This window comes from Homo sapiens, chromosome 8 (genome assembly GCF_000001405.40).
Source record: "Homo sapiens chromosome 8, GRCh38.p14 Primary Assembly".
Lineage (NCBI taxonomy): Eukaryota > Metazoa > Chordata > Mammalia > Primates > Hominidae > Homo > Homo sapiens.
In genome coordinates this window covers 12653172-12678379 of record NC_000008.11, presented here as the reverse complement: position 1 = coordinate 12678379, position 25208 = coordinate 12653172, and the positions used below count along the sequence as shown (strand labels likewise).

The 25208-nt window shown below is 50.6% G+C and overlaps 1 long non-coding RNA gene and 1 pseudogene across 1 annotated transcript in view, besides 5 other annotated features; both read left to right on the top strand.

The window, feature by feature from the left end:
* Window positions 1601-2118: an enhancer, noted in NCBI's record as "H3K4me1 hESC enhancer chr8:12533771-12534288 (GRCh37/hg19 assembly coordinates)". NCBI's record gives its function as "activates a minimal SCP1, AML or CMV promoter by ChIP-STARR-seq in naive and primed H9 embryonic stem cells {active_cell/tissue: H9 hESC(naive and primed)}" and the evidence as "EXISTENCE:reporter gene assay evidence [ECO:0000049][PMID:30033119]".
* On the top strand, window positions 1991-2345 carry VPS51P19 (VPS51 pseudogene 19; annotated as a pseudogene).
* Window positions 11807-12308: an enhancer, noted in NCBI's record as "H3K4me1 hESC enhancer chr8:12523581-12524082 (GRCh37/hg19 assembly coordinates)". NCBI's record gives its function as "activates a minimal SCP1, AML or CMV promoter by ChIP-STARR-seq in naive H9 embryonic stem cells {active_cell/tissue: H9 hESC(naive)}" and the evidence as "EXISTENCE:reporter gene assay evidence [ECO:0000049][PMID:30033119]".
* Window positions 12725-13014: an enhancer, noted in NCBI's record as "active region_27041". NCBI's record gives its function as "activates an Ori minimal core promoter by ATAC-STARR-seq in GM12878 lymphoblastoid cells {active_cell/tissue: GM12878}" and the evidence as "EXISTENCE:reporter gene assay evidence [ECO:0000049][PMID:35858748]".
* LOC729732 (uncharacterized) overlaps window positions 12769-25208 on the top strand; it is a 128533-nt gene continuing 116093 nt past the window's right edge. The window contains exons 1-2 of the long non-coding RNA NR_047662.2: window positions 12769-13102; window positions 18551-19250. This is a non-coding gene — a long non-coding RNA (uncharacterized LOC729732). The remainder of the gene's footprint in view (window positions 13103-18550; window positions 19251-25208) is intronic.
* Window positions 18776-18895: a silencer, noted in NCBI's record as "silent region_18949". NCBI's record gives its function as "represses an Ori minimal core promoter by ATAC-STARR-seq in GM12878 lymphoblastoid cells {active_cell/tissue: GM12878}" and the evidence as "EXISTENCE:reporter gene assay evidence [ECO:0000049][PMID:35858748]".
* Window positions 19091-19743: an enhancer, noted in NCBI's record as "H3K27ac-H3K4me1 hESC enhancer chr8:12516146-12516798 (GRCh37/hg19 assembly coordinates)". NCBI's record gives its function as "activates a minimal SCP1, AML or CMV promoter by ChIP-STARR-seq in naive H9 embryonic stem cells {active_cell/tissue: H9 hESC(naive)}" and the evidence as "EXISTENCE:reporter gene assay evidence [ECO:0000049][PMID:30033119]".

Here is a 25208-nt window from a genome sequence, read left to right as displayed (position 1 = left end):
TTGTTTGTTTCCTCATCCTCAGGACAAACAGGAGAGTGTGATGGGTGGATGGGATGAGACCAATATGCAACTCTCTGCTCAGCAGACTGTGGCGTTTCTGTTCTTGGTTGTGGTGGGGGTCTCAGAAATCTTATTCAAAATTTTGCTTTCCTCCCCCACTGGTTGTCCTTTTCATAGACATCTCACCCATGATAGCAGGGGATCAGTCCCTCTAAACTATTCCCTAAGAACAACAAAGAGATTATGAAGGTGATGATGAGGATAAAGAGGATGACGACAGACACCATGGCATCATGAACCCTTACTGAGGGCTTCATAAAGGCCAGACTCTGAGCTCTGTGCTCTATGCAGCTTGTTTCATTTCATCTGCATAGTCTCCACGTTATTAGTGCACATTTCAGGATGATTTTACAGACTAGAAAAGGCGCAACGGATTTTCATGTAGCTTGTACCAGATCACGAAGTCAAAAAGGGCGAAGTCCAATTTGAACCAGGCAGTCTAAGTCCAGACACATGGCATTTGGCCAGTCCTCTCCCTGCATCCAACCTGCCCTCTCAAATCCTTGTCACTCAGGCTGATGCCCCTGCTCCCTGAGCCCTTCCCTTTGGGGGTTCCTTGGAGACCACAGCTAGACCAGTGGGTGCCACAATCACTGTGTCATGTATAGAAAGGGCAGCTGAGATCACATCAAGGATTCCAGAAAGAATTGGCACAGGATCATTCGGGACGCATCTCTCCCTTGCCCCTGTTACTGGCTTTCCTTACAGCTCTCGACTTCCTCAAAGGAGTCATCAATTCGGAGTTTGGTTTCCATTCCTATTGAGGAAGCTGGAAAGTGTTTCAAACATGATCCTCCGATGTGCCTGTGGTTAAGACCTCTGAGCTTTGCTTAAAACTTTTTGAAGCTGGGCGCGGTGGCTCACGCGTGTAATCCCAGCCCTTTGGGAGGCTGAGGCAGGCGAATCACAAGGTCAGGAGTTCAAGACCAGCCTGGCCAACATGGTGAAACCCTGTCTCTACTAAAAATACACACACACAAAAAAAATTAGCCATGCATGGTGGCGTATGCCTGTAATCCCAGCTACTGGGGAGGCTGAGACAGGAGACTCCTTTGAAGCTGGGAGACAGAGGTGGCAGTGAATCGAGATCACGCCACTGCACTCCAGCCTGGGCAACAGAGCAAGAATCTCTCTCAAAAAAATAAATATATAAAAATTACGAAAAAAAGTGATTGGATGGGCTTGGCAAACTTTAGCCATTAGCTCACGTACCACTTTGGAAGGGCATACCTTCAGTCACTTCACCCTTTAATCTCTTTGCTCAAGACTAAAGTTCTGAGAACAAGTCTAATCGGCTGAGTTGTGTCCATGTGGGCAGTGCAGAAAAGGATGCAGCGGGAGGCGCCTGCAGGGACGTCTTTGGCTTCTATCATGGGGGAGCAGGCCCCTGGATTATCCACCCTAACAAATCTGGACAAAGGAAAACGAGGTTCTCTGAGGAAGGAGACATGGAGCCCAAGGAGCTACCCAAGAGACAAATAGTCATCCTGTCTTGTCATTTTCTTTTACACATGTGTGTACATTATCTTACACTTATCACTTTGTTTTCTTTCTCTCCTTTAATTGCACCCTACTGCAAAAGTTAAAATGAAATGAAAGTATTGAGATAGCTCAGTAACTGACTTTTAGTCAATTGCCTTTTCCTATAGTGAACAGCTGCCCAAAAGATTGTGTCTGTCACTGTGCAAATTTGCAAGCATTTGCATGATCACTCCCAATCCGCCAACACAGAGCTGTGTTACAGCACAATTTAGTTCAGTGTTTTGCTCTCTGCAACAGGGAGGTTCTCATCCATTACAGGTTGCAGTAAAAACAGGGGTACCATAAGCAACCACCTCTTTCCTCAACGGTGTGATGAAAGCAAACGCCAAGTAGCTCCATGTAGCCAACTTAAAAATATAAAAATTACGCCCGTGGGCTGCAGTTGGACCTATGGCGGCGGCAGCTGTCACTGGGCCTAGCCCGGGCTGTGGACCTGGGGACTTCCCAGAAGGGCCCGAGTGGGAGGCTCACGGAGTGTCGGTGGAAGGCGCACAGGATGCTAAAGCTTTACAGTGGCCTCTCGGAAGGGGAGGCGGTGGGACACCTCGCGGGTCCAGACCCCCTGGACCCCACTGATCTGAACGGGGCGCAGTTCAACCCAGAAGTTTACCTAGACAAGCTGCCTAGAGAGTGCCCTCTGGCCCAGCTGATGGACAGTGAGACGGACATGGTGCAGCAGATCTGGGCTCTAGACAGCGATGCAAACCCTGGTCTATGAGAACTATGATAAGTTTATCCCAGCCACAGAAATTGACAAACAGCATAAAACTGTATGAGGATTTGCAGGAAACCCAGAATTTCCCAGATAACCTTGTAAAGGAAGAACAAAGTTGGAAGACTCACAAAGAAAAATACATATATATATATATATATATATATATATATATATATGTAAATATGTATATATATATGTAAATATGTATATATATATAAAGTTGTATTTTCGTTCTGTTGTAAATGTCTAGTAATTTCTATTGTGATTTTTCATTTAACTCATGAAAGGATATTTTTAATTTTCCAAATGTGTGCTTGTGTTTATCTATCTTCTTGCTGTTGACTTCTAATTTTATTGCATTATGGTCAGGAAAATGTGGTCTGGACAATGTCAATTGTATAGTGGATTTTGCTGAGACTTCTTTATGGCCTAATATGTGGCCAGTTTTTTTTTTTTTTTTGCAAATTTTCCACATGTGGTTAAAAGGAATGTGGATTATTTGTTTTTTTTAGGAGAGTTTTTATTTTTAAATAGATAAGGTTCTCAGTGTAATTGAAATCTAGCTTCAGTTAACAATATGCTAGATCTCTCAAACCTTAGGATGTTAGTCAGTGTAACAATAGACTGCTGCTGAGACGAATAAACCCTGAACTCTCAGTGGGTTGGCACCCATAGTATAGTCTGGTGCAGGGCAGGGGTTCTCCTTGGGGGCCCTTGTCCAACAGTGATTCAGAGATTCTGCAGGTTTCCATCTTTTAATTCTGCCATCTCAGAGTTTTTCACTTGCAGCCATATGGATAGGGAGAGAGGGAACATAGCTCACACTTGCCTTTGATAACCTTGGCCCAGAAGTGATTTCTTACATTCCTATTGGTGGAAATGCAGTCACATGGTTCCAAACTAACTGCAAGTGAGGCTGGGAAATGTAGTCTTTCTGCATGTAGAGGAAGAGGAATGGTGTGAACACAGCATTGTCTTTGACACACTAAGCATGTGCTGAAGAGTTCTTACTCTCATAGGAGGTTTGTCTGTCCTGTGTAACTTTGTCAGTTTTTGCTTAGATAGTTTCAGGCAATGTTGTTTGGTGCATTCAGCTTGATGATTATTATGTCCTCTTGGCAAAGTAGTCAAGATTCCCATCAGTTTGAATGAAAGTGTTTTACAGATAGGTCAGGAAATATTAATACTTTAAAAGACCCTTCTATTCCTCCACTCTACAGATAAGAACAACAGAGTCCTAGAGAGAGGAGGTCATGGGTCTCAGTCATGAGTGGCAGAATTGAAACCTACATGGCAGTAACTTTGCTTTCCCCCATCATGTTGTTCTCCCTCTATCTTTACTCTGCTGATTTCCTCACTTGCTCCATACAGACCTCCCAGTGCCAAGTGTGTAAGTGTGTCCGGAATTGGTGGGTTCTTGGTCTCACTGACTTCAAGAATGAAGCCGCGGACCCTCCTGGTGAGTGTTACAGTTCTTAAAGGTGGCGTGTCTGGAGTTTGTTCCTTCTGATGTTCCGATGTGTTCGCAGTTACTTCCTTCTGGTGGGGTTCCTGGTCTTGCTGGCTCAGGAGTGAAGCTGCAGACCTTCACAGTGAGTGTTACAGCTCTTAAGGCTGCACGTCTGGAGTTGTTCATTTCTCCTGATGGGTTCATGGTCTCACTGGCTTCAGGAGTGAAGCTGCAGACCTTCTCAGTGAGTGTTACAGCTCATAAAGGCAGTGTGGACCCAAAGAGTGAGGAGCAACAAGATTTATTGCAAAGAGCAAAAGAACAAAGCTTCCACAGTGTGGAAGGGGACCCCAGCGGGTTGCCACTGCTGGCTCGGGCAGCCTGTTTTTATTCTCTTACCTGGCCCCACCCACATCCTGCTGATTGGTCCATTTTACAGAGAGCCTGAGTGGTCTGTTTCGACAGGGTGCTGACTGGTGCGTTTACAATCCCTGAGCTAGACACAAAGGCTCCCCACATCCCCACTAGATTAGCTAGATACAGAGTGTCCACACAAAGGTTCTCCAAGTCCCCACCCTAGTAGCTAGATACAGAGTGTCGACTGGTGCATTCACAAACACTGAGCTAGACACAGGGTGCTGATTGGTGTGTTTAAAAACCTTGAGCTAGATACAGAGTGCCGATTGGTGTATTTACAATCCCTTAGCTAGACATAAAGGTTCTACAAGTCTCCATCAGACTCAGGAGCACAGCTGGCTTCACCCAGTGGATCCCACACAGGAGCCACAGGTGGAGCTGCCTGCCAGTCCCTCTCTGTGCGCCCACACTCCTCAGCCCTTGGGTGGTCGATGGGACTGGGCACCGTGGAGCAGGGGAAGGTGCTTGTTGGGGAGGCTCGGGCTGCACAGGAGCCCACAGAGGGGGGAGGCTAAGGAATGGCGGGCTGCAGGTCCTGAGCCCTGCCCCATGGGGAGGCAGCTAAGGCCCGGCGAGAAGTCAAGCACAGCAGCTGCTGGCCCAGGTGCTAAGCCCCTCACTGCCCGGGCCGGCTAGGCTGGCCAGCAGCTCCTAGTGCAGGGCCGCCAAGCCCATGCCCACCTGGAACTTCAGCCGGCAGACAAGCAGCATGTGTAGCCCCAGTTCTGGCTCATGCCTCTCCCTCCACACCTCCCTGCAAGCTGAGGGAGCCAGCTCCGACCTTGGCCAGCCCAGACAGGGGCTCCCACCATGCAGCCACGGGCTGAAGGGCTCCTCAAGTTCCGCCAAAGTGGGAGCACAGGCAGAGGAGGCACCAAGAGCGAATGAGGGCTGTGAGGGCTGCCAGCACACTGTCACCTCTCATAAGGAGTGATTAATCTGAGCTTCTCCAGAAAGTCCTTTCCTGGTAGGCACTGGGAATAAGAAATCTCAGAGTATAAAAAAAATCAAGTGGTAACACTTTTGTGAATGGCTCCCCAATTAGATCCTTTACCTTTTTTTTTTTCCATGAAGCACAGTTGCCCAAAACACACTTAGCCTGAGATGAAGCACATATTAGAGAAAGGTTCTCTCTATAGCATTATGTATTACTCAAATGAGCATTAAAAAGAGGAGACGGGACATGCTCTCTCTAGATATTATTACCTCCACTATAGAGTTGACATACACAAGCTCATTATTGCAATATGTTTTTTTTCAAGAAAATAACTTTAATGTTGAAGCTTAAATTGAATTCGCTAAAACATCTTTGTCTCCAGCATAATGTGCCTCAGGTGTCTCCTTGGTGCCTGAATTTTCTCCAGAATTATAGTGCTGAAGCTATGGAAATGGTGAAATTACATGCAATCTGAAAAACAATGTAGCGATAACGTGGTAATTGGCCTTCCACATAATTAAAGGAACATTTCCTCATCAGAGCTGTTCCATCAGAGACCCAAAGGCTATCGTTGTACAAATCACCCACTTAGGAAAACCTTTATTCCCAGTAGCCTATAAAAATCTGGTTATGTAAACAGATTTGCTTATTCAGTAAGATTAATGGCTTCTCATAGTTAAAAAGTCATCAATGTGATTGACCTATAATCTGTTTCCTCTGTGACCAAGTGTCATTTTTATTTTGACAGTTAGGAGCCTTTTGACTCTTTCACAGCTGCCATGAAGGCACAGGGAGAGAAATCTCAAAAACAAACAACCTGTGTATTCCCAGCCTATTAATCAATAGAAAATCACTTCAATTGGATTAGGGTCTTGTACCTGGCAGAAAGGCTTTTAAGGACATTGGAATTGGATTTTTACACTTGATATGACACCTCCTTGAGTCAGATCAGATTCGTGTTTGATAGACTCTTGCCGAAAAATTGCTCCAGGGTCTGTGCGGTAGCTAAAGCCTTTTTGTTGTTGTTGTTGTTTTAAAAGCAGAATTAAATGTTTTCATGAAGACCTTCCCACCAGTGATTTTATTGGGAATATGGTCTTTAGCTCTGGTCCTGAATAACTCACACTGAGGAAACCTCTAACAAGTGTTTTATTGGGAGATGTCTGATGGATGGTTGGTTTTAATAACAAATCTCTTCCCTTTTTCTGTCCCCTGTGTTCTATTCTCCTTTCTCTACACATTATTCTGGGAGGATTCACCTATTCCCAAAGTCCTTTCCTCTTTATTTCCATTCCAGAGTTCTCTGTATAACTCCAGGCTGATGAATCCAACTGCCCACTTGTTATCTCCACTTGGCTGTCTGTCTTGCATTGACCTCATCTTACCTTGCCTCTCCTGATTTCCTCTTCTGCCTGGGCTCACCACGTCAGATTCACACCACCATCCACCCAGCTTCCAAAACACCTGGGCCTCCTCCTTCATTCCTCCCTCTTTCTCAGTCAAGTTAGTCTACTGTCTCCTCTCCATCCTCACTGCCACAGCCTTGGTCCAGCCAACCATCTTGTCTCACTTGGTGTATTGCAGCCTCCTACCTGGTCTACTCACCTCCCACTCTCCTCCAGCCAGACTGCTCTTGTTCTAGCACAAAGTGGATCATTACTCCCCTGTCTAAAAACATCTACTGTCTCCCTTTGTCTACAGGATAGACACGACAAAGAGCCTTTAAGATTTGGCTCCGGCCGGGCGCGGTGGCTCACGCCTGTAATCCCAGCACTTTGGGAGGCCGAGGCGGGTGGATCATGAGGTCAGGAGATCGAGACCATCCTGGCTAACAAGGTGAAACCCCGTCTCTACTAAAAATACAAAAAATTAGCCGGGCGCGGTGGCGGGCGCCTGTAGTCCCAGCTACTCGGGAGGCTGAGGCAGGAGAATGGCGTGAACCCGGGAAGCGGAGCTTGCAGTGAGCCGAGATTGCGCCACTGCAGTCCGCAGTCCGGCCTGGGCGACAGAGCGAGACTCCGTCTCAAAAAAAAAAAAAAAAAAAAAAAAAAAAGATTTGGCTCCAACTTACCTCTATGTTAGTCACTTTTTATAATTATATGAACATCTCTCAGCTCCTCACCCTCTCACGTCTCGATTTTTGCACATGCTCTTCCCTCTGCTGGGAATGATCTTCCACACCTCTCCTATCGACCTGGCTAGTTCCTACCATTTTCTAGTCTTCAACTGAGGAGTCCTGTGGTGGAGAGGGATTTCTCACAACCTGATATAGATTGCACGCCCACCCACCTCCGGGCTTTTTCTTTTTTCTTTCTTTTGTTTTTTTTGAAGGAGTCTTGCTCTGACCATGCAGGCTGGAGTGCAGTGGTGCGATCTTGGCTCACTGCAATCTCCACCACCCGGGTTCAAGCAATTCTCCCACCTCAGCCTTCTGAGTATCTGGAATTACAGGTGCCCGCCACCACATCTGGCTGATTTTTTTGTATTTTTAGTAAAGACAGGATTTCACCATGTTGGCCAGGTTGTTTTCGAACTCCTGGCCTCAAGTGATCCACCCACCTTGGTCTCCCGAAGTGCTGGGATTACAGGCATGAACAACTGCACCTGGCCGATTGGGTGCCCCTTCTATGTGCTCCCATTGCCCCAGGCATACTGTCACCGTAACTCTTACCATTCTGAGTTGAAAATGATTTTTTTTTTTTGCTTTTTATTTCTCTCATTAAATGCAAAGCTCATGGAAAAGAGGACAGTGGTTGTTCACTGTTGTACTCCTAACCTTTGACTCAGTGTCCTGAGGTTGGCTCTAGAGCTATGCACACATGTTCAGACATTGGAGCACATCTTGTCTAGCACCTCTTTTGAGGTGGCTTAGAGAAAAGTCAGTAGGTACTTCCCCAAGGATGAAACAGAAGCTTCACCTAAACCAGTTCTTCAACTTCAGCCTGCATTAGAATCCTCTGAGAGCTTGTTAAAAATACCGTCTCCTAGAGCCCACTCTTCAAGAGTCGGTGAGTTGCTTCATCATCAAAATATATACAGAATTCAGCCAGTCTTCAGCCCCAGCCTGGTCTGAGCCACTGTGGACTCCCACCTGCAGAATGTCCCTGCTGGTCTCCTTGCTTCTGCTCTTACCTTCTTATTACCCATTCAAGTAGCCGGGGCGATCCTTTTTAAAAATATTTTAAAATTTTTTTGAGATGAAGTCTCACTCTGTTGCCCAGGCTGGAGTGCAGTGGTGCTATCTCAGCTCGCTGCAGCTCTACCTCCTGGGCTCAAGCCATCCTCCCACCTCAGCCTCCTGGGTAACTGGGACCACAGACATACACCACCACACCCGGCTAATTTTTGTATTTTTTGTAAAGACACGGTCTTGCTATGTTGCCCAGGCTAGTCTTGAACTTCTGTGTGCACCCACCTCAGCCTCCTGCATTTTTAGGAGGCCCCTCTTGTAGGGATTTTGATCCAGAGGCCTGGGTGCCTCCTGTGTCCCCCCATCTCTCTCTGTCTTTCTGTCTCTGTCTCTCTCTCTCTTTCTCTTTGCCTTATAGTTGCCCTGGGGTCTAGACTCTGCCTTAGGCATCCCTCTGGCTCTTGTTTGCTTTTACACTGAGGCTGCTTTAAATTGCACCTTGATCTGAAGCCTTGGGCTTCTGCTCCTATTCCTTGCTTTTGTTGGAAGGGCCGTGCAGCTTCTTGACAAATTGCAAAGGTGCCCACGAGTTTCCAAGTCCCCAAGAACCAAACCAGATGACAAACAAGGATGCAGCCCACAGCTGGGGAGACAGATTTCATGTCCACACAGAGACTCCAAGATGCTGAACTGAAATCCACCCCGAAACCTGTTTTCTCTCTCATTTAAGTTCATTGTCACCTGGGGGCTTGCAGGGCAGGGCTGGTGACCATTCTCAGGGCAAAGATGCTTTGAAAGGGCAACTGAGAATGGTGTGGTTGTTGACAGATGGCACGTCAGAGCATAGATTAACATGGAAAGAGAAACTCACCCCTTGGGGGGAGTGTGTGAGGCTGGCAGCCACACAGAGGGCTTTTCCTGCGAGCTCTTGCATAGATGCAAACAGCCAGGAGGTTTTGCTTTCTGATCCTGAGTGGAAGCATGTTCCTCCCTGCACATTGCCGCTCTGCAGCAAATGTTTATTCCTGTTGCATTGATTAAAAGTGCTTACCAGGCCAGGCGCGGTGGCTCATGCCTGTAATCCCAGCACTTTGGAGGCAGAGGCAGGCAGATCACAAGGTCAGGAGATTGAGACCATGCTGGCTAACACGGTAAAACCCCGTCTCTACTGAAAATACAAAAAATTAGCCGGGCATGGTGGCGAGTGCCTGTAGTCCCAGCTACTTGGGAGGCTGAGGCAGGAGAATGGCATGAACCCAGGAGGCAGGGCTTGCAGTGAGCCGAGATTGTGCCACTGCACTCCAGCCTGGATGACAGAGCAAGACTCCATCTCAAAAAAACAAAGCGCTTACCGAAGAGGTTTGAGGGCAGTGGTGACAGTGTGAGTTATTACTCTGCCGGCTGCCAGTGGAGCCAGCCACTCTGCACAGCCGTGCAAGGGCGTTTTGAAAAGTGGCTCAGCCGGCCAGGAGTGACTGGCTGTAAATATTGCTGCCACAACATCTTGTAGCCTGATTGGGGCCGTGTTTGCAGAACCCCTAAATCATTACACTTGTTCAGGCTTAAAAATAAGCTTACTTTTTTTGTTTGTTTTGTTTTGTTTTATGAGATGGAGTCTAGTTCTGTCACCGGGTTGGAATGCAGTGGCATGATCTCGGCCCACTGCAACCTCTGCCTCCTGCGTTCAAGTGATACTCCTTCCTCAGGCTCCCGAGTACCTGGGACTACAGGCGTGTGCCATCATGACCAGCTAATTTTTGAATTTTTAGTACAGACGGGGCTTCACCATGTTGGCCGGGATGGTGCGATCTCTTGACCTCGTGATCTGCCCGCCTTGGCTTCCCAAAGTGCTAGGATTACAGGCGTGAGCCACCGTGCCTGGTCAAACATAAACTTACTTTCTTACCTCTTCTGCTGAACTCTATTTGCTTCTTTTCGCAACTTCTGCTGAACTCTATTTTGCTTCTTTTTCCTGGTAAAGCTCTTCTTTATCCAGAAGAGCTTTTAGTAACAAAGTTACCCAATGCCCTTCCCTAGTCTCTCCTTGCAACTGGCTCTCAGTGGTGGGTGGGGTGGGTAGGAGGAAATCCTTGACAGAACCAATTTACATGACTGTTTGGAGGACTCTCGCTAGCCCCAGGAGGTGTTTGCATTTTTAAATTGGTTAGTAGTGTCAGAATGTTTCATGAGTAAGAGCACAGCCTCTAAGTTGGATACCCTGAATTTAAATCTCAACATGGCCATTTTGTATATAACCAGAGGATGGATTGGGGGACCCAATGGATCTACCATGACATGAACTTGGACCAACATTCACCTGACCTAAAAAATGTGTATTCTGACTGGTAGACCCTAGTCTCAGCCTAGTGCCAGTTCAGAGCCTGTGTCCAGTGATCCTGCACAGGTCTCATTAGTTCCTTTTCTCCTGTTCAGTCATCCTGGTAAAGGCTGTGTATTCCCTTGGGGGCAGGCTGGGAGAAAGATTGACAGTATAAATTTTTGGCAGTGGAGCAGAGTCCTTTCTGGAGGGGACCTGGCTTCCCATTCAGACAAGGGACTCCGGGTCTGTGAACTGGCTTATGGCTGGGAATTGAATGGGGTCTGTGACACTGTTTTTATGATTCAGATTAGACTTCTGCTCACCTGACCTAGAACTCTTCTGCAAACACAGATCAAGTAAAAATGTGGCAGGCTTCTTATCTATTTCACTTCTAGGAAAGCCACGATCAGCAGGCACCATAGGTCTCTGCGAGTCAGGGTATTCTGGTTGCAGCTTTGACTCTGCTGTCTTTTATGGTAACTGCATCCACCTTGCCTTTGGGGATTGAGTGCTCTGATCACTTAGCCCCAGCCACTGTAGTGTGCCTATGTCACTTACCCTCTTTATACCTCAATCTCCTCCTCTATAAAATGGGCATCCTCATTGCACCCACCCCCAGGGCTGCTGTGAGGTATAGATGGATTAGCATATGGAAAGTAATAGAAGAGGGTCTCAAAGCCCATGTGTCGTTATCAGAATTATTTCGTGACAGGGGAGAGCTGGAAGAGAGAGGAAGGTGCTGAGCAGACCCGAGTGCTCTCCCACCAGTGTTTCCTGAGCACCTACTATGTGCTGTCCACTGTGAGAGCTGTTAGGGTTGAAATAGGGAGCACAGCAGGGTAGGGGCTGCCATCAGGAGCTTAGTGGGGAGACCATTGTGCAACACGATTCCAGCGCTTGGGGTGGGGAAGCTCAGGGAGTACAGGGGCCTAGGATCCTGGGCAGAATCATGGAAAGGACACAGCCTCCCCAGCCTCTCCTGCGTCCCCTGCCTCCCTGGCCTCCTCTGCTTCCCTGGCCTCTCCTGCCTTCCTGGCTTCCCCTTCTGCCCCGGCCTCCCCAGTCTCCCCTGTCTTTCCTGCTTCTGAGGTGGGCCAGGAGCTGCTGGTGCTCACTTAGCCTGTCCTGGACTCTGGGTGTAGCACTTCGATGTCCAGAAAATACCCCCGGGTTCAGCTCATCACACAACCAAGGAAGGAGCTCCACACTGACACTAAGGGTGCATCCTGGGCTCATTCATCAGGGCATGCCTCCAAAATATTTCTCCACGTCTCCTCCCTTTGCCCACCTGCATTGTCTCTGTGCCTGAGCCCCGGCTGGGGGTCTGGAAGGATCCCCTATCTCCTCTGCCCCTGCACGGCTGGGTCCCAGGCAATCTGTCCGCCCACCACGCCTGTCGCCCCTTGCCCACCACGCTCCATCCCCACAGTCCTCTTTCTGCTTCTTTCCCAGCCTCTGGGCTTTTGCACACGCTGTTCCCTCTGCCTGAACACCCTCCACTGGGCTGAGAACAACTCTCTGAGACCTCTCTCAGCTGTTGCTTCCTTTGGAACAGCCGCTGCTGCTGTCCCTCTCCCAGCTGCAAGACCGGCTGAGCCTCCTGTCTTTTTCAGTTCCCATGCCCCTAGCACTTCTCCTTGGCCTCCTTTGGCCGAGTTGACAATGTCCATTCTCAATGCCTTCTCACCCAGCGCTGAGCCCCACTGGATGAAGGCAATGCCTGTCATGTCCACCGCAATATCCCCTCCCCCATCACCACGCCTGGTCCACAGTGATGTTCAAAAAAGATCTGTTGGTAGGCAATGGGAAGGTGCATTCATGTCATCCTGCAGGCGGAATTCTCCACGAGTTTTGAGCAGCCTCGGTTTTCCCACCACCTCCAAATCATGGAAGAAACAGGGTAAGAGCAAAGACAAGGTGGCTGTGGCCGATGTCCACCCTCTCCGGGCGTCCCTTCTCTTCTCTCCTCCTTCGGCAGGGAGACTATCGGGGTGCAACCTGGCTGGGGCGGGGAGGAGGTGCAGGGCCTGGCCAGAGCGGGCCTGGCCACGGGCAAGGGACAGCGACTTCCTGGGCCAGGACAGGTGAGAGCGGCGCAGGCCCGAGCCCGGCGTGGCGGCGGTGTGCGGGAGAGGCCAGCAGAGGGCGCCAGAGAGCCAGGAGCGGCCCGCGGAAGAGCCCGCGCCGCCCGGATGCCCAGCTCCGCGCCGCGCGGACCCAACGAGCCCGCGCTCAGACTCCCCAGCTCCGCCGAGAGGACGCTCGCGCTGGGTCCTTCTTCTTCCCCAAGTGCAGGCAGAGCCCCCGGAGTCATGGCCAGCCCTTCCGGCAGCTCCGAAGCCACTGGCAAGCCCTGAGGTAGGGATGGCTGGCCCAGGAGGGAGGAGGACGACGTCCCTCCCGAAGAGAAGAGGCTGCGGCTGTTGCTGGAGGGGGGAAGCGCACAGCCCGAGGACTGCGAGGACGGGGAGGACGCGCCGCGGCCGGGCAGGGAGGAGACCGGCACCCAGACAGGTGGCGACGGCAAAGGAGTAAGTGACGCGGGCGCGGGGGTCCGGGGGTGCCGGGGGCGCGGGGGTGCCTGCGACACGGGGTAGAGGTGGCGGGAGGCTCCGTGGCCGACCCCGGGTTGAAGATGGGAGGGCGGCCTTCATTCTGAACCCATTTAGGCAGCACGGGCAGCCCTCCTCGCCGCGGGCTGCATCAGAGCCCCCCCTGCCCTGTCTTGGGGTTGCTCCCGGTTGCTGTCTGGGAGGCTTGCTCATGGTGACATCCTCATCTCCCCGTGCACGTTACTGCATTCAGAGCTTGGGTCACCTGGACACTGAACTCAGGTGAATTTTCTCTGAGATCCCGGGAGAAGGAGGACAGTTCTCTGGAAGGTTTTCCAGGGCCGATCACGGAAAGGATGAGAAGGGAGAGGTCCTGGTCGGGAACACAATTACGGTGGCAGTGTAACACCAGGAAACTTTATTGCGTGAAGTCCCTCTCACTCCTTCCACCTCCTTCTTTTACGTGGACTCTGCCAAAGACCAGGATACCAGAATGCAGTGGAGTGACCAAGTGTAGTGGGACCTTGGGAACGCGAGTCTGGAGCCAGGCGGCTGGGGTTTGCATCCTGGTTCTGCCCCTCCTTAGCTGGCTGACATGGCACAAGCCTCTTATCCTCTCTGAGCCTTACTGTCTTCAGTGGCAAATGGATCTGTCAACAGGTCCCATTGCCTGGGGTTTACTGCTGAGATTAAGGGAAGCTTATCCACAGAAGCACTTAGGATTGTGCCTGGCACATAGTGTATGGTGGATAAATGAGAGTTAGGACTAAAACTCATGCCTTGGTGTGTTTTTGCAGTGATGTTTTGTTCTGGGGTGCATCACAAGAGACAAGGTTCTTGGCTGGGCATGGTGGCTCAAGCCAATAATCCCAGCACTTTGAGAGGCCGAAAGGGGAGGATCGCTTGAGCCCAGGAGTTTAAGACCAGCCTGGGCACGGTGGTGAAGCCTCATATCAACCAAAAATAAAAAAAATAAAAAATAAAGCCAGGTATGGTGGTGTGTGCCTGTAGTCCCAAGGACTTTGGAGGCTGAGGTGGGAGGATTGTTAGAGCCTGGAAGGTCGGGCTGCAGTGAGCTGTGATCATGCCACTGCACTCCAGCCTGGGTGACAAAGTGAGACTCTGTTTCAAGGAAGAGAGATAGAGAGAGAGAGAGACACAGACCCACAAGAGTCTTAAGCCAGAATCTTCATGTTAAAATGCTTTCTAGAGGCTAAAAGGATGATATGTTGATAATGAAATATTTAAAAGACAGAAACCCCACTGAATTGTTTGGTCCACAGAGGGAAATGGGAATCGCATGACCTGAAGGTTGATGGAGGAACTAAACAGAAACCATCCTTGTTTCCTGAATCTGAACATGGCACCCTCTTTTCACGGTGTTTGTATCTGCTCAGTCCGGCGGCCCCTCAAAAAGAGGCAATCTTGATTTTCAAACTTAAAATTTGGCCCAAAGCCCACTGCTGCCCACAATGCCCGCCAGACACATTCCTCTTCCCTTTTAGTTCCTATGGGAATACTCTCTTTGAAGAACCCATGAAGCAGTGTCAGGCTGGTGTGAGAATCAGCAGTGATTTCTTTGAGGAGGAGAGCCGTTTCTTCACTCACAGGCCATGTCTGAGTGGATCAAGAAGAACAGAGTGCCCTTTTATGAGATTTTGTCTGTGTAGACCATTAGCTTGGTAAAAATGCCAAAACCATCCTCGTTCTTTAATAGCAGATTATTTTGGACTTTTCTCTGCAAGAAGCAGCATGGGCATTCAGATGCTTTTAAGGACAAAATGTTCTTTCTCATCACCAGGCCTGGTGCTCTGGATGGCTGAGGTTTTAATGTGACTGGATGTCCCTTGGAGTGGCTCCCAGGCTGTGCTCTTGTGGTTGGGTGGCAAGGGGTTGCTTTATTCGTTGGTGGCTAGAGGATGTTTTAGCAGATAAATCGGGACCCCAGGAGCCCTTGAGTGCCAAGTCCTGCCCTGCAGGGCATGTGTTTATGGTGGGGATGTGGGGAGGGGTGGAGGGTGGGGTGCATTGATTTCCTGCCAATATCAGAAGTTTCACAGGCTTCTTGTGTATCCACAAACACCCACCCCATTGAGAAGGCCTAGAAAACCTGGCCCTCCCCAAGTCTTTATTGACAACTTGTGAATGATCCCAGGGTGTGTCTGACCCACAGCTCCTCCTGGAGGGAGAGAAAAGTCTCTCCTAGGTATTTGGTTGTCAACCTCAACCACTTGCTGAGCCTTCCCCAAGACCAGGCATCTTGTCAGAGATTTCTGGGTTGTCAGGCAGAACCGAGCATTCGAGGGTAATAACTCACTGGAGTCCCTGAAATCCCTGATGGACGCACCTGGTAAAAGCATCCAGGGTTGAAACCAGATCAGGAAGGTTATTGTCAGCCTGGGGCTCCTGTAGAGGTGCATCCACGTTGCAGGGATTTTCCTTCTTGCTGAGGAGAAACCTGGGTTTCTCAGCTTTGGCACAGTCAGAATATTTGTGGTGAGACCATTCGTGGTGCTGGTGGTGGGGCTGTGCTGTGTATTGAAGGATGGTTAGCAGCATCTGTGGTCTCCATCCTCTAGGTGCCATTCTACCCTCCCTGCTATGGCTACCCCAGACGTCTCCAGATGGTTTCAAATAATGTGGGGCAAGGGAGCGGTACGTGAGCAAAACCACCCCAGTTAAGAGCCATTGGTCCACACTTGTGGAAATGTTTGAGGGTGAGAGTGTCGAGCTTGGGTCCCTGCTGTACCCTTTATGAGCAATGTGGTCTTGGAAAATTAATACTACTCCAGGGGCCTCAGTTTTCTCATCTATAAAATGGAGATAAATGAGATACACTTTGATAGGAAGGTTATATGGGATTCACCGAGATAATAAGACAGTACATGGAAAATGCTGCGCATAGCATTTATTTATTTTAATTTTTTTTTAAGACAGAGTCTTACTCTGTTGCCCAGGTTGGAGTGCAGTGGCATGATCTCCGCTCACTGCAATCTCCACCTCCTGGGTTCAAGTGATTCTCCTTCCTCAGGCTACTGAGTAACTGGGACTACAGGCGTGCGCCATCATGTCCATCTAATTTTTGAATTTTTAGTAGAGACGGGGCTTCACCATGTTGGCCAGGATAGTCCGATCTCTTGACCTCGTGATCTGCCCGCCTCGGCCTTCCCAAGTGCTGGGATTACAGGCGTGAGCCACCGTGCCTGGCCAAACATAAACTTACTTTCTTACCTCTTCTGCTGAACTCTATTTGCTTCTTTTCCCATACGTCTTTATCCAGAAGAGCTTTTAGCAACAAAGTTACCCAATGCCCTTCCCTAGTCTCTCCTTGCAACTGGCTCTCAGCAGGGGGTGGGAGGAAATTCTTGACAGAACCAATTGACATGACTGTTTTGGGGACTCTGGCTAGCCCCAGGAGGTGTTTGCACTTTTAAATTGGTTACTAGTGTCAGAATGTTTCATGAGTAAGAGCCCAGGCTCTATGTTGGTTGCCCTGAATTTGAATCTCAACATTGCCTCTTTGTATATAACCAGAGGATGGATTTGGGGACCCAATGGATCTACCATGACATGAACTTGCACCAACATTCACCTTACCTCCAAAATGCCTATTCTGACTAGTAGACCCTAGTCTCGCCCTAGTGCCAGTTCAGAGCCTGTGTCCAGTGATCCTGCACAGGTCTCATTAGTTCCTTTTCTCCTGTTCAGTCATCCTGGCGAAAGGCTGTGTATTCCCTTGGGGGCAGGTTGGGAGGAAGATTGACAGTATAAATTTTTGGCAGTGTAGCAGAGTCCTTTCTGGAGGGGACCTGGCTTCCCATTCAGACAAGGGAGTCCAGGTCTGTGAACTGGCTTATGTCTGGAAATTGACTGGGGACTGTGACTCTGTTTTTATGATTCAGATTAGACTTCTGCTCACTTGACCTAGAACTCTTCTGCAAACACAGATCAAGTGAAATGTGGCAGGCTTCTTATCTATTTCACTTCTAGGAAAGCCACGATCAGCAGGCACCATAGGTCGCTGCGAGTCGGGCTATTCTGGTTGCAGCTTTGACTCTGCTGTCTTTTATGATAACTGCATCCACCTTGCCTTTGGGGATTGAGTGTTCTGATCACTTGGCCCCAGCCCCCGTAGTGTGCGTATGTCACTTACCTTCTTTATACCTCAGTCTCCTCCTCTATAAAATGGGCATCCTCATTGCACCCACCCCCAGGGCTGCTGTGAGGTATAGATGGATTAGCATATGGAAAGTAATAGAAGAGGGTCTCAAAGTCCATGTGTCGTTATCAGAATTATTTCGTGACAGGGGAGAGCTGGAGGAGAGAGGAAGGTGCTGAGCAGACCCGAGTGCTCTCCCACCAGTGTTTCCTGAGCACCTACTATGTGCTGCCCACTGTGAGAGCTGTTAGGGTTGAAATAGGGAGCACAGCAGGGTAGGGGCTGCCATCAGGAGCTTAGTGGGGAGACCATTGTGCAACATGATTCCAGCCCTTGGGGTGGGGAAGCTCAGGGAGTTCAGGGGCTTAGGATCCAGGGCAGAATCATGGAAAGGACATAACCTCCCCAGCCTCTCCTGCCTCCATTGCCTCCCTGGCCTCCTCTGCTTCCCTGGCCTCTCCTACCTTCCTGGCTTCCCCTTCTGCCCCGGCCTCCCCAGTCTCCCCTGTCTCTCCTGCTTTTGAGGTGGGCCAGGAGCTGCTAGTGCTCACTTAGCCTGTCCTGGGCTCTTGGTGTAGCACCTCAATGTCCAGAAAATACCCCCGAGTTCAGCTCATCACACAGTCAAGGAAAGAGCTCCACACTGACACTAAGGGTGCATCCTGGGCTCATTCATCAGGGCATGCCTCCAAAATATTTCTCCACGTCTCCTCCCTTTGCCCACCTGCACTGTCTCTGTGCCTGAGCCCCGGCTGGGGGCCTGCAAGGATTCCCTATCTCCTCTGCCCCTGCACGGCTGGGTCCCAGGCAATCTTTCTGCCCACCACACCTTCCTCCCCTTGCCCACCACGCTCCATCCCCACAGTCCTCTTTCTGCTTCTTTCCCAGCCTCTGGGCTTTTGCACACGCTGTTCCCTCTGCCTGAACACCCTCCACTGGGCTGAGAACAACTCTCTGAGACCTCTCTCAGCTGTTGCTTCCTTTGGAACAGCCGCTGCTGCTGTCACTTTCCCAGTTCCAAGACCTGCTGAGCCTCCTGTCTTTTTCAGTTCCCATGCCCCCAGCCCTTCTCCTTGGCCTCCTTTGGCCGAGTTGACAATGTCCATTCTCAATGCCTTCCCACCCAGCGCTGAGCCCCACTGGGTGAAGGCAATGCCTGTCATGTTCACCACAATATCCCCTCCCCCATCACCACACCTGGTCCACAGTGATGCTCAAAAAAGATCTGTTGGTAGGCAATGGGAAAGTGCATTCATGTCATCCTGCAGGCGGAATTCTCCACGAGTTTTGAGCAGCCTCGGTTTTCCCACCCCCTCCAAATCATGGAAGAAACAGGGTAAGAGCAAAGACAAGGTGGCTGTGGCCTATGTCTACCCTCTCGGGGCGTCCCTTGTCTTCTCTCCTCCTTGGGCAGGGAGACCATCGGAGTGCAACCTGGCTGGGGCGGGGAGGAGGTGCAGGGCCTGGCCAGAGCGGGCCTGGCCACGGGCAAGGGACAGCGACCTCCTGGGCCAGGACAGGTGAGCGCGGCGCAGGCCCGGGCCCGGCGTGTCCGCGCTGCGCGGGAGAGGCCAGCAGAGGGCGCCAGAGAGCCAGGAGCGGCCCGCGGAGGAGCCCGCGCCCGCCCCGATGCCCAGCTCCGCGCCTCGCGGACCCAGCAAGCTCGCGCTCAGACGCCCCAGCTCCGCCGAGAGGACGCTCGCCCCGGGTGCTTCTTTTTCCCCAAGTGCAGGCAGAGCCCCTGGAGCCATGGCCAGCCCTTCCGGCAGCTCCGAAGCCACTGGCAAGCCCCGAGGCAGGGATGGCCGGCCCAGGAGGGAGGAGGACGACGTCCCTCCTGAAGAGAAGAGGCTGCGGCTGTTGCTGGAGGGGGGAAGAGCACAGCCCGAGGACTGCGAGGACGGGGAGGACGCGCTGCGGCCGGGCAAGGAGGACACCGGCACCCAGACAGGTGGCGACGGCAGAGGAGTAAGTGACGCGGGCGCGGGGGTCCGGGGGCGCGGAGGTGCCGGGGACGCGGGGTAGAGGCGGCGGGAGGCTCCGTGGCCGGTTCCGGGTTGAAGTTGGTTACTGAGCGGCAACTCCGGCGGCACGGAGTGACAGCTGGTGACGGCCTCCGAGACGCCAGCTGCCCCTTCTCGGCTGTGTGGCTTCGACTTCCTGATTCTCCCACGACGTCCCTGGCTGGGATACCCGCTGGACTCTGCAGCTGGCCAAAAGGGGAGGGGGAGCCCCGCGTCCTGGGGCCCCCAGCAGGGGAAGGGGCGGGGGTTGCCCTGGGCATCCTGTCTGGGGCATCTGTCTGGGACTCTGTCGGTGCCTCTCACCTGGCGAGGGGCCTGTGGTGGGGGCAGGGGGGAAGTCCCTGGTGCCAGGCTTGGCCAAGCCCTGCTCTGCTGGGCTGCGGGCTGGTGGCGCTCACCCAGCTCGTCACCTGTCCCGCATCTTCCTGTTTTTTTTTTCCCTTTCTAGTTGGGCAGCCAGAGTTGAGAGGAGGCAGATGGCTTCCATCCCAGAAATCGTTCTCTTTCCATCCCTACAGAGAGGGACAGAGAGGCAAAGTTCCTTGCATTCCCTGGGGCGCTGTCCCTATGAGCTCCCGGTGTCCTGCACACGTGGGCCCCTGAGTCACCGGGCCTGTGTGTGTGGGATGGTGCTCCGTGGCCAGCCTGGCCTCCTGGGGTTCACTTTCTGCTTTCCTACCCCAAATCTTCCTGTGTGGCTTTGCTGGCCTTCCACTGGGGAGGCACGTGAGTTTGGAGAGCAGATGAAGGCCAGCTGGAGAGCTGTACCCCTCAGTGACTGCTGCCACCTTGATGGTTTTTGATGGATAATGGGGTTGACCTCTTTGTTCCTTCCACATGTTTTTATGTTTGACCATTTACTTAACTGAGCTTGTCTTAATAATTGGATTCGTGGTTAATGAGCCCCACATGGGAGAGAGGGCGGCCTTCATTCTGAACCCATTTAGGCAGCATGGGCAGCCCTCCTCGCCGTGGGCTGCATCAGAGCCCCACCCTGCCCAGTCTTGGGGTTGCTCCCGGATGCTGCCTGGGAGGCTTTCTCATGGTGACATCCTCATCTCCCTGTGCTCGTTACTGCATTCAGAGCTTGGGTCACCTGGACACTGAACTCAGGTGAATTTTCTCTGAGATCCCAGGAGAAGGAGGACAGTTCTCTGGAAGGTTTTCCAGGGCCAATCACGGACAGGATAAGAAGGGAGAGGTCCTGATCGGGAACACAATTACGGTGGCAGTGTAACGCCGGGAAACTTTATTGCGTGAAGGCCCTCTCACTCCCTCTACCTCCTTCTTTTACGTGGACTCTGCCAAAGACCAGGATACTATAATGCAGTAAGGTGACCAAGCGTAGTGGGACCTTGGGAACACGAGTCTGGAGCCAGGCAGCTGGGGTTTGGATCCTGGTTCTGCCCCTCCTTCGCTGGCTGACATGGCACAAGCCACTTACCCTCTATGAGCCTTACTGTCTTCAGTGGCAAATGGATCGGTCTACAGACCCCAGTGCCTGCGGTTGTTACTGCTGAGATTAAGGGAAACTCGTCCATAGAAGCACTTAGCGTTGTGCCTGGCACATAGTGTATGGCGGATAAATGGGACTCAGGACTGAAACTCATGCCTTAGTGTGTTTTTGCAGTGATGTTTTGTTCTGGGGTGCATCACAAGAGACAAGGTCCTTGGCCGGGCGTGGTGGCTCAAGCCAATAATCCCAGCACTTTGAGAGGGTGAAGGGGGGATCGCTTGAGCCCAGCAGTTTAACACGAGCCAGGGCAACATGGTGAAGCCTCATATCTACCAAAAAACAAAACAAAACAAAACAAAACAAAACAAAACAAAAGCCAAGTATGGTGGTGTGTGCCTGTAGTCCCAAGTACTTTGGAGGCTGAGGTGGGAGGATTGCTAGAGCCTGGAAGGTCGGGCTGCAGTGAGCTGTGATCATGCCACTGCACTCCAGCCTGGGTGACAAAGTGGGATCCTGTTTCAAGGAAAAGACAGAGAGAGAGAGAGAGACAGACAGACCCACAAGAGTCTTAAGCCAGAATCTCCATGTTAAAATGCTTTCTGGAGGCTAAAAGGATGATATGTTGATAATGAAATATTTAAAAGACAGAAACCCCACTGAATTGTTTGGTCCACAGAGGGTAATGGGAATCGCATGACCTGAAGGATGATGGAGGAACTGAATAGAAACCATCCTTGTTTCCTGAATCTGAACATGGCACCCTCTTTTCACGGTGTCTGTATCTGCTCAGTCCAGTGGCCCCTTGAAAAGAGGGAATCTTGATTTTCAAACTTAAAATTTGGCCCAAAGCCCACTGCTGCCCACAATGCCCGCCAGACACATTCCTCTTCCTTTTTAGTTTCTATGGAAATACTCTTTCTGAAGAACCCATGAAGCAGTGTCAGGCTGGTACGAGGATCAGCAGTGATTTCTTTGAGGACAAGAGCCAGTTTCTTCACTCACAGGCCATGTCTGAGTGGATCAAGAAGAACAGAGTGCCCTTTTATGAGATTTTGTCTGCGTAGACCACTAGCTTGGTAAAAATGCCAAAACCATCCTCGTTCTTTAATATCAGATTATTTTGGACTTTTCTCTATAAGAAGCAGCATGGGCATTCAGATGCTTTTAAGGATAAAATGTTCTTTCTCATCACCAGGCCTGGTGCTCTGGATGGCTGAGGTTTTAATGTGACTTGGTGTCCCTTGGAGTGGCTCCCAGGCTGTGCTCTTGTGGTTGGGTGGCAAGGGGTTTCTTTATTCGGTGGTGGCTAGAGGATGTTTTAGCAGATAAATCGGGACCCCAGGAGCCCCTGTGTTGCAAGTCCTGCTGCAGGGCATGTGTTTATAGTGGGGATGTGGGGAGGTGGAGGGTGGGGTGCATTGATTTCCTGCCAATATCAGAAGTTTCACAGGCTTCTTGTGTATCCACAAACACCGACCCCATTGAGAAGGCCTAGAAAACCTGGCCCTCCCCAAGCCTTTATTGACAACTTGTGAATGATCCCAGGGTGTGTCTGACCCACAGCTCCTCCTGGAGGGAGAGCAAAGTCTCTCCTAGGTATTTGGTTATCAACCTCAACCACTTGCTGAGCCTTCCCCAAGACCAGGCATCTTGTCAGAGATTTCTGGGTTGTCAGGCAGAACCGAGCATTCGAGGATAATAACTCACTGGAGTCCCTGAAATCCTTGATGGACGCACCAGTTGAAAGCATCCAGGGTTGAAACCAGATCAGGAAGGTTATTCTCATCTTGGGGCTCCTGCAGAGGGATTCCTGCAGAGGTGCATCCACGTTGCAGGGATTTTCCTTCTTGCTGAGGAGAAATCTGGGTTTCTCCGCTTTGGCACAGTCACAACATTTGGGGTCAGACCATTCATGGTGGTGGTGGTGGTGGGGAGGCTGTCCTGTGTATTGTAAGATGGTTAGCAGCATCTGTGGTCTCCATCCTCTAGGTACCATTTTACCCTCCCAGTTATGGCTACTCCAGATGTCTCCAGATGGTTTCAAATGCCGTGGAGCAAGGGAGTTGTACGTGAGCCAAACCACTCCAGTTGAGAGCCATTGGTCTACACTTGTGGAAATGTTTGAGGGTGAGAGTGTCAAGCTTGGGTCCCTGCTGTACTCTTTATCAGCAATGCAGTCTTGGAAAATTAATACAACTCCAGGGGCCTCAGGTTTCTCATCTATGAAATGGAGATAAATGAGATACACTTTCATAGGAAGGTTACATGGGATTTACTGAGATAATAAGACAGTACATTGAAAATGCTGGGCATAGCATTTATTTATCTTTATTTTGTTTTTAAGATGGAGTCTTACTCTGTTGCCCAGCCTGGAGTGCAGTGGCATGATCTCCGCTCACTGCAACCTCCACCTCCTGGGCTCAAGTGATTCTCGTGCCTCAGCCTCCCAAGTAGCTGGGAGTACAGTTGCCCACCACCACACCTGGCTAATTTTTGTATTTTTAGTAGAGATGTGGTTTCACCATGTTGGCCAGGCTGGCCTCAATCTCCTGACCTAAGGTGATCCACCCAGCTCGGCCTCCCAAGGTGCTGAGATCACATGTGTGAGCCACCACCCTGGGCTGGGCATAGCATTGTAACACAGACAAATCACAAAATACTTGGGCAATATCTTTCTACATTTGGGTTGTCTAGACTCCATCCTCCATCCCCTCATGTACTGGTGTGGTGCAGAGCAGAATGTCACCCACCTAGACTGCAGAGTGGATTTGGGTGGCATCTTGGCTTTCTGCACAAGACTTGCCTGTTCCCCACCATGTCCCCCTGGTTCTCAGGGTCCAGGATTCCAGGAAGCAGGGATGTGGGCAGGAAGGGCAGGTGGCCCACCCGGTTCACTCCCACGCTGGGGACCTGCAGAGCCAGCTCCCTGAGACAGGGTGTTTGGACCAACATCTGGGTTTCTGGATTTCCATTTGAGCACAGCTGGACTACACAGGCTGAAGCTCTCTCTGCCGAGATATAGATATTTCCCTGGTGATGATCTTTCAAGCTGACATGAAGACATGGCCACCTGCTGGAACGTGTTGTGTCTGCTGTGGCGCTCTTGTAATTTGTGAGGCAGGCTCCTGAGGAATGCAGTGCGTAAGTGGGAAATGGTGGGAAGTTCTAGCATCCTCCCCTGGCCAAAAGTGCTGCCTGCACAGGTTGGTGGATGGTCCTTCGAGCAGGAAGAAGACATGAAACACATTCCTGTTAGCTACGACAGAGAGGGGCAGGGTACACACTGGACATTTCGAGCCCATCCAGAGAAGCAAGTCTTACTATGTTGGGAGTACTTTGGAATGGGGGCTGTGTTGCCCTGGGCTTTAATTATTTCAGGAACATTTAACCCCAGGGTTGGCAGGCTGGATCTTGATATGTGTTTCTCAGTTGGAAAGACTTTGGACCATATGGAGATGTCTTCTCAATTCTTTTAATTTCAGTAAGGTTGTCATTTTTCTTCTTGTGGCCTCTGGAATGTGACACAGAACTCAAGGGACAGGAAGGAGATGATTTGGAGGCTGGGACAGGGGTCCCTGCCAGGGATGCTGGTGACTCACGTGACGGTGTTGATGTGTGGAGTCCGGTGCCTGGTTTGGGGAATGTTCGTGGGATATGTTCCAAAGGACTGACGGACCTATCTGGTACTGGAGGTGAATGGTCAGGTCTGATCTCAGGGCTGTTAGTGTCAGGCAAGGACAGGAAGTTGACGTTGGACTCATTGGCTGAGGTTGCTTGGGACCCAGGGGGCAATGTGTGCCAGGACAGATGGGTCTGGGGCTAGGAAGGCAGATTTGGGCTGGAGACTCGGGCTTGGGAGGCATCCCAGGTAGACAGTGGTTGAGGCTGTGGAAATGACCGCGATTGCCTGGGATGAGAGTGGAGACAGACAAGATGGGGGTTTTGCTTTAAGCCTGGGGAGCCCACCTCCCAGGTTCAAGCGATTCTCCTGCTTCAGCCTCCCAAGTAGCTGGGAATGCACGTGCATGCCACCATGCCTGACTAACTTTTGTATTTTTAGTAGAGATGAGGTTTGGCCAGGCTGGTCTCAAACTTCTGACTTCAAGTGATCGGCCCACCTTGGCCTCCCAAAGTGCTGGGATTACAGGCATGAGCCACCATGCCTGACCATTTTTAAATATTAATTTTTATGAAATATTTTCAAGCACATTTTACTATACATTGGAAAAGTCAATCATGATTTGAAAACTTCATCAAAATCCAATCAAATGTCAATTAACCATTTAATTGTGGATAGGTAAGGAGACTATTTTGACCAAAACATATTAGAACAATTAACACTTATAGAAATAATCTATGTTTTAATGTTTTAGTTGAATTAAACCATCTTTTATATTCTGGCCGGGCACAGTGGCTTACACTTGTAATCCCAGCACTTTGGGAGGC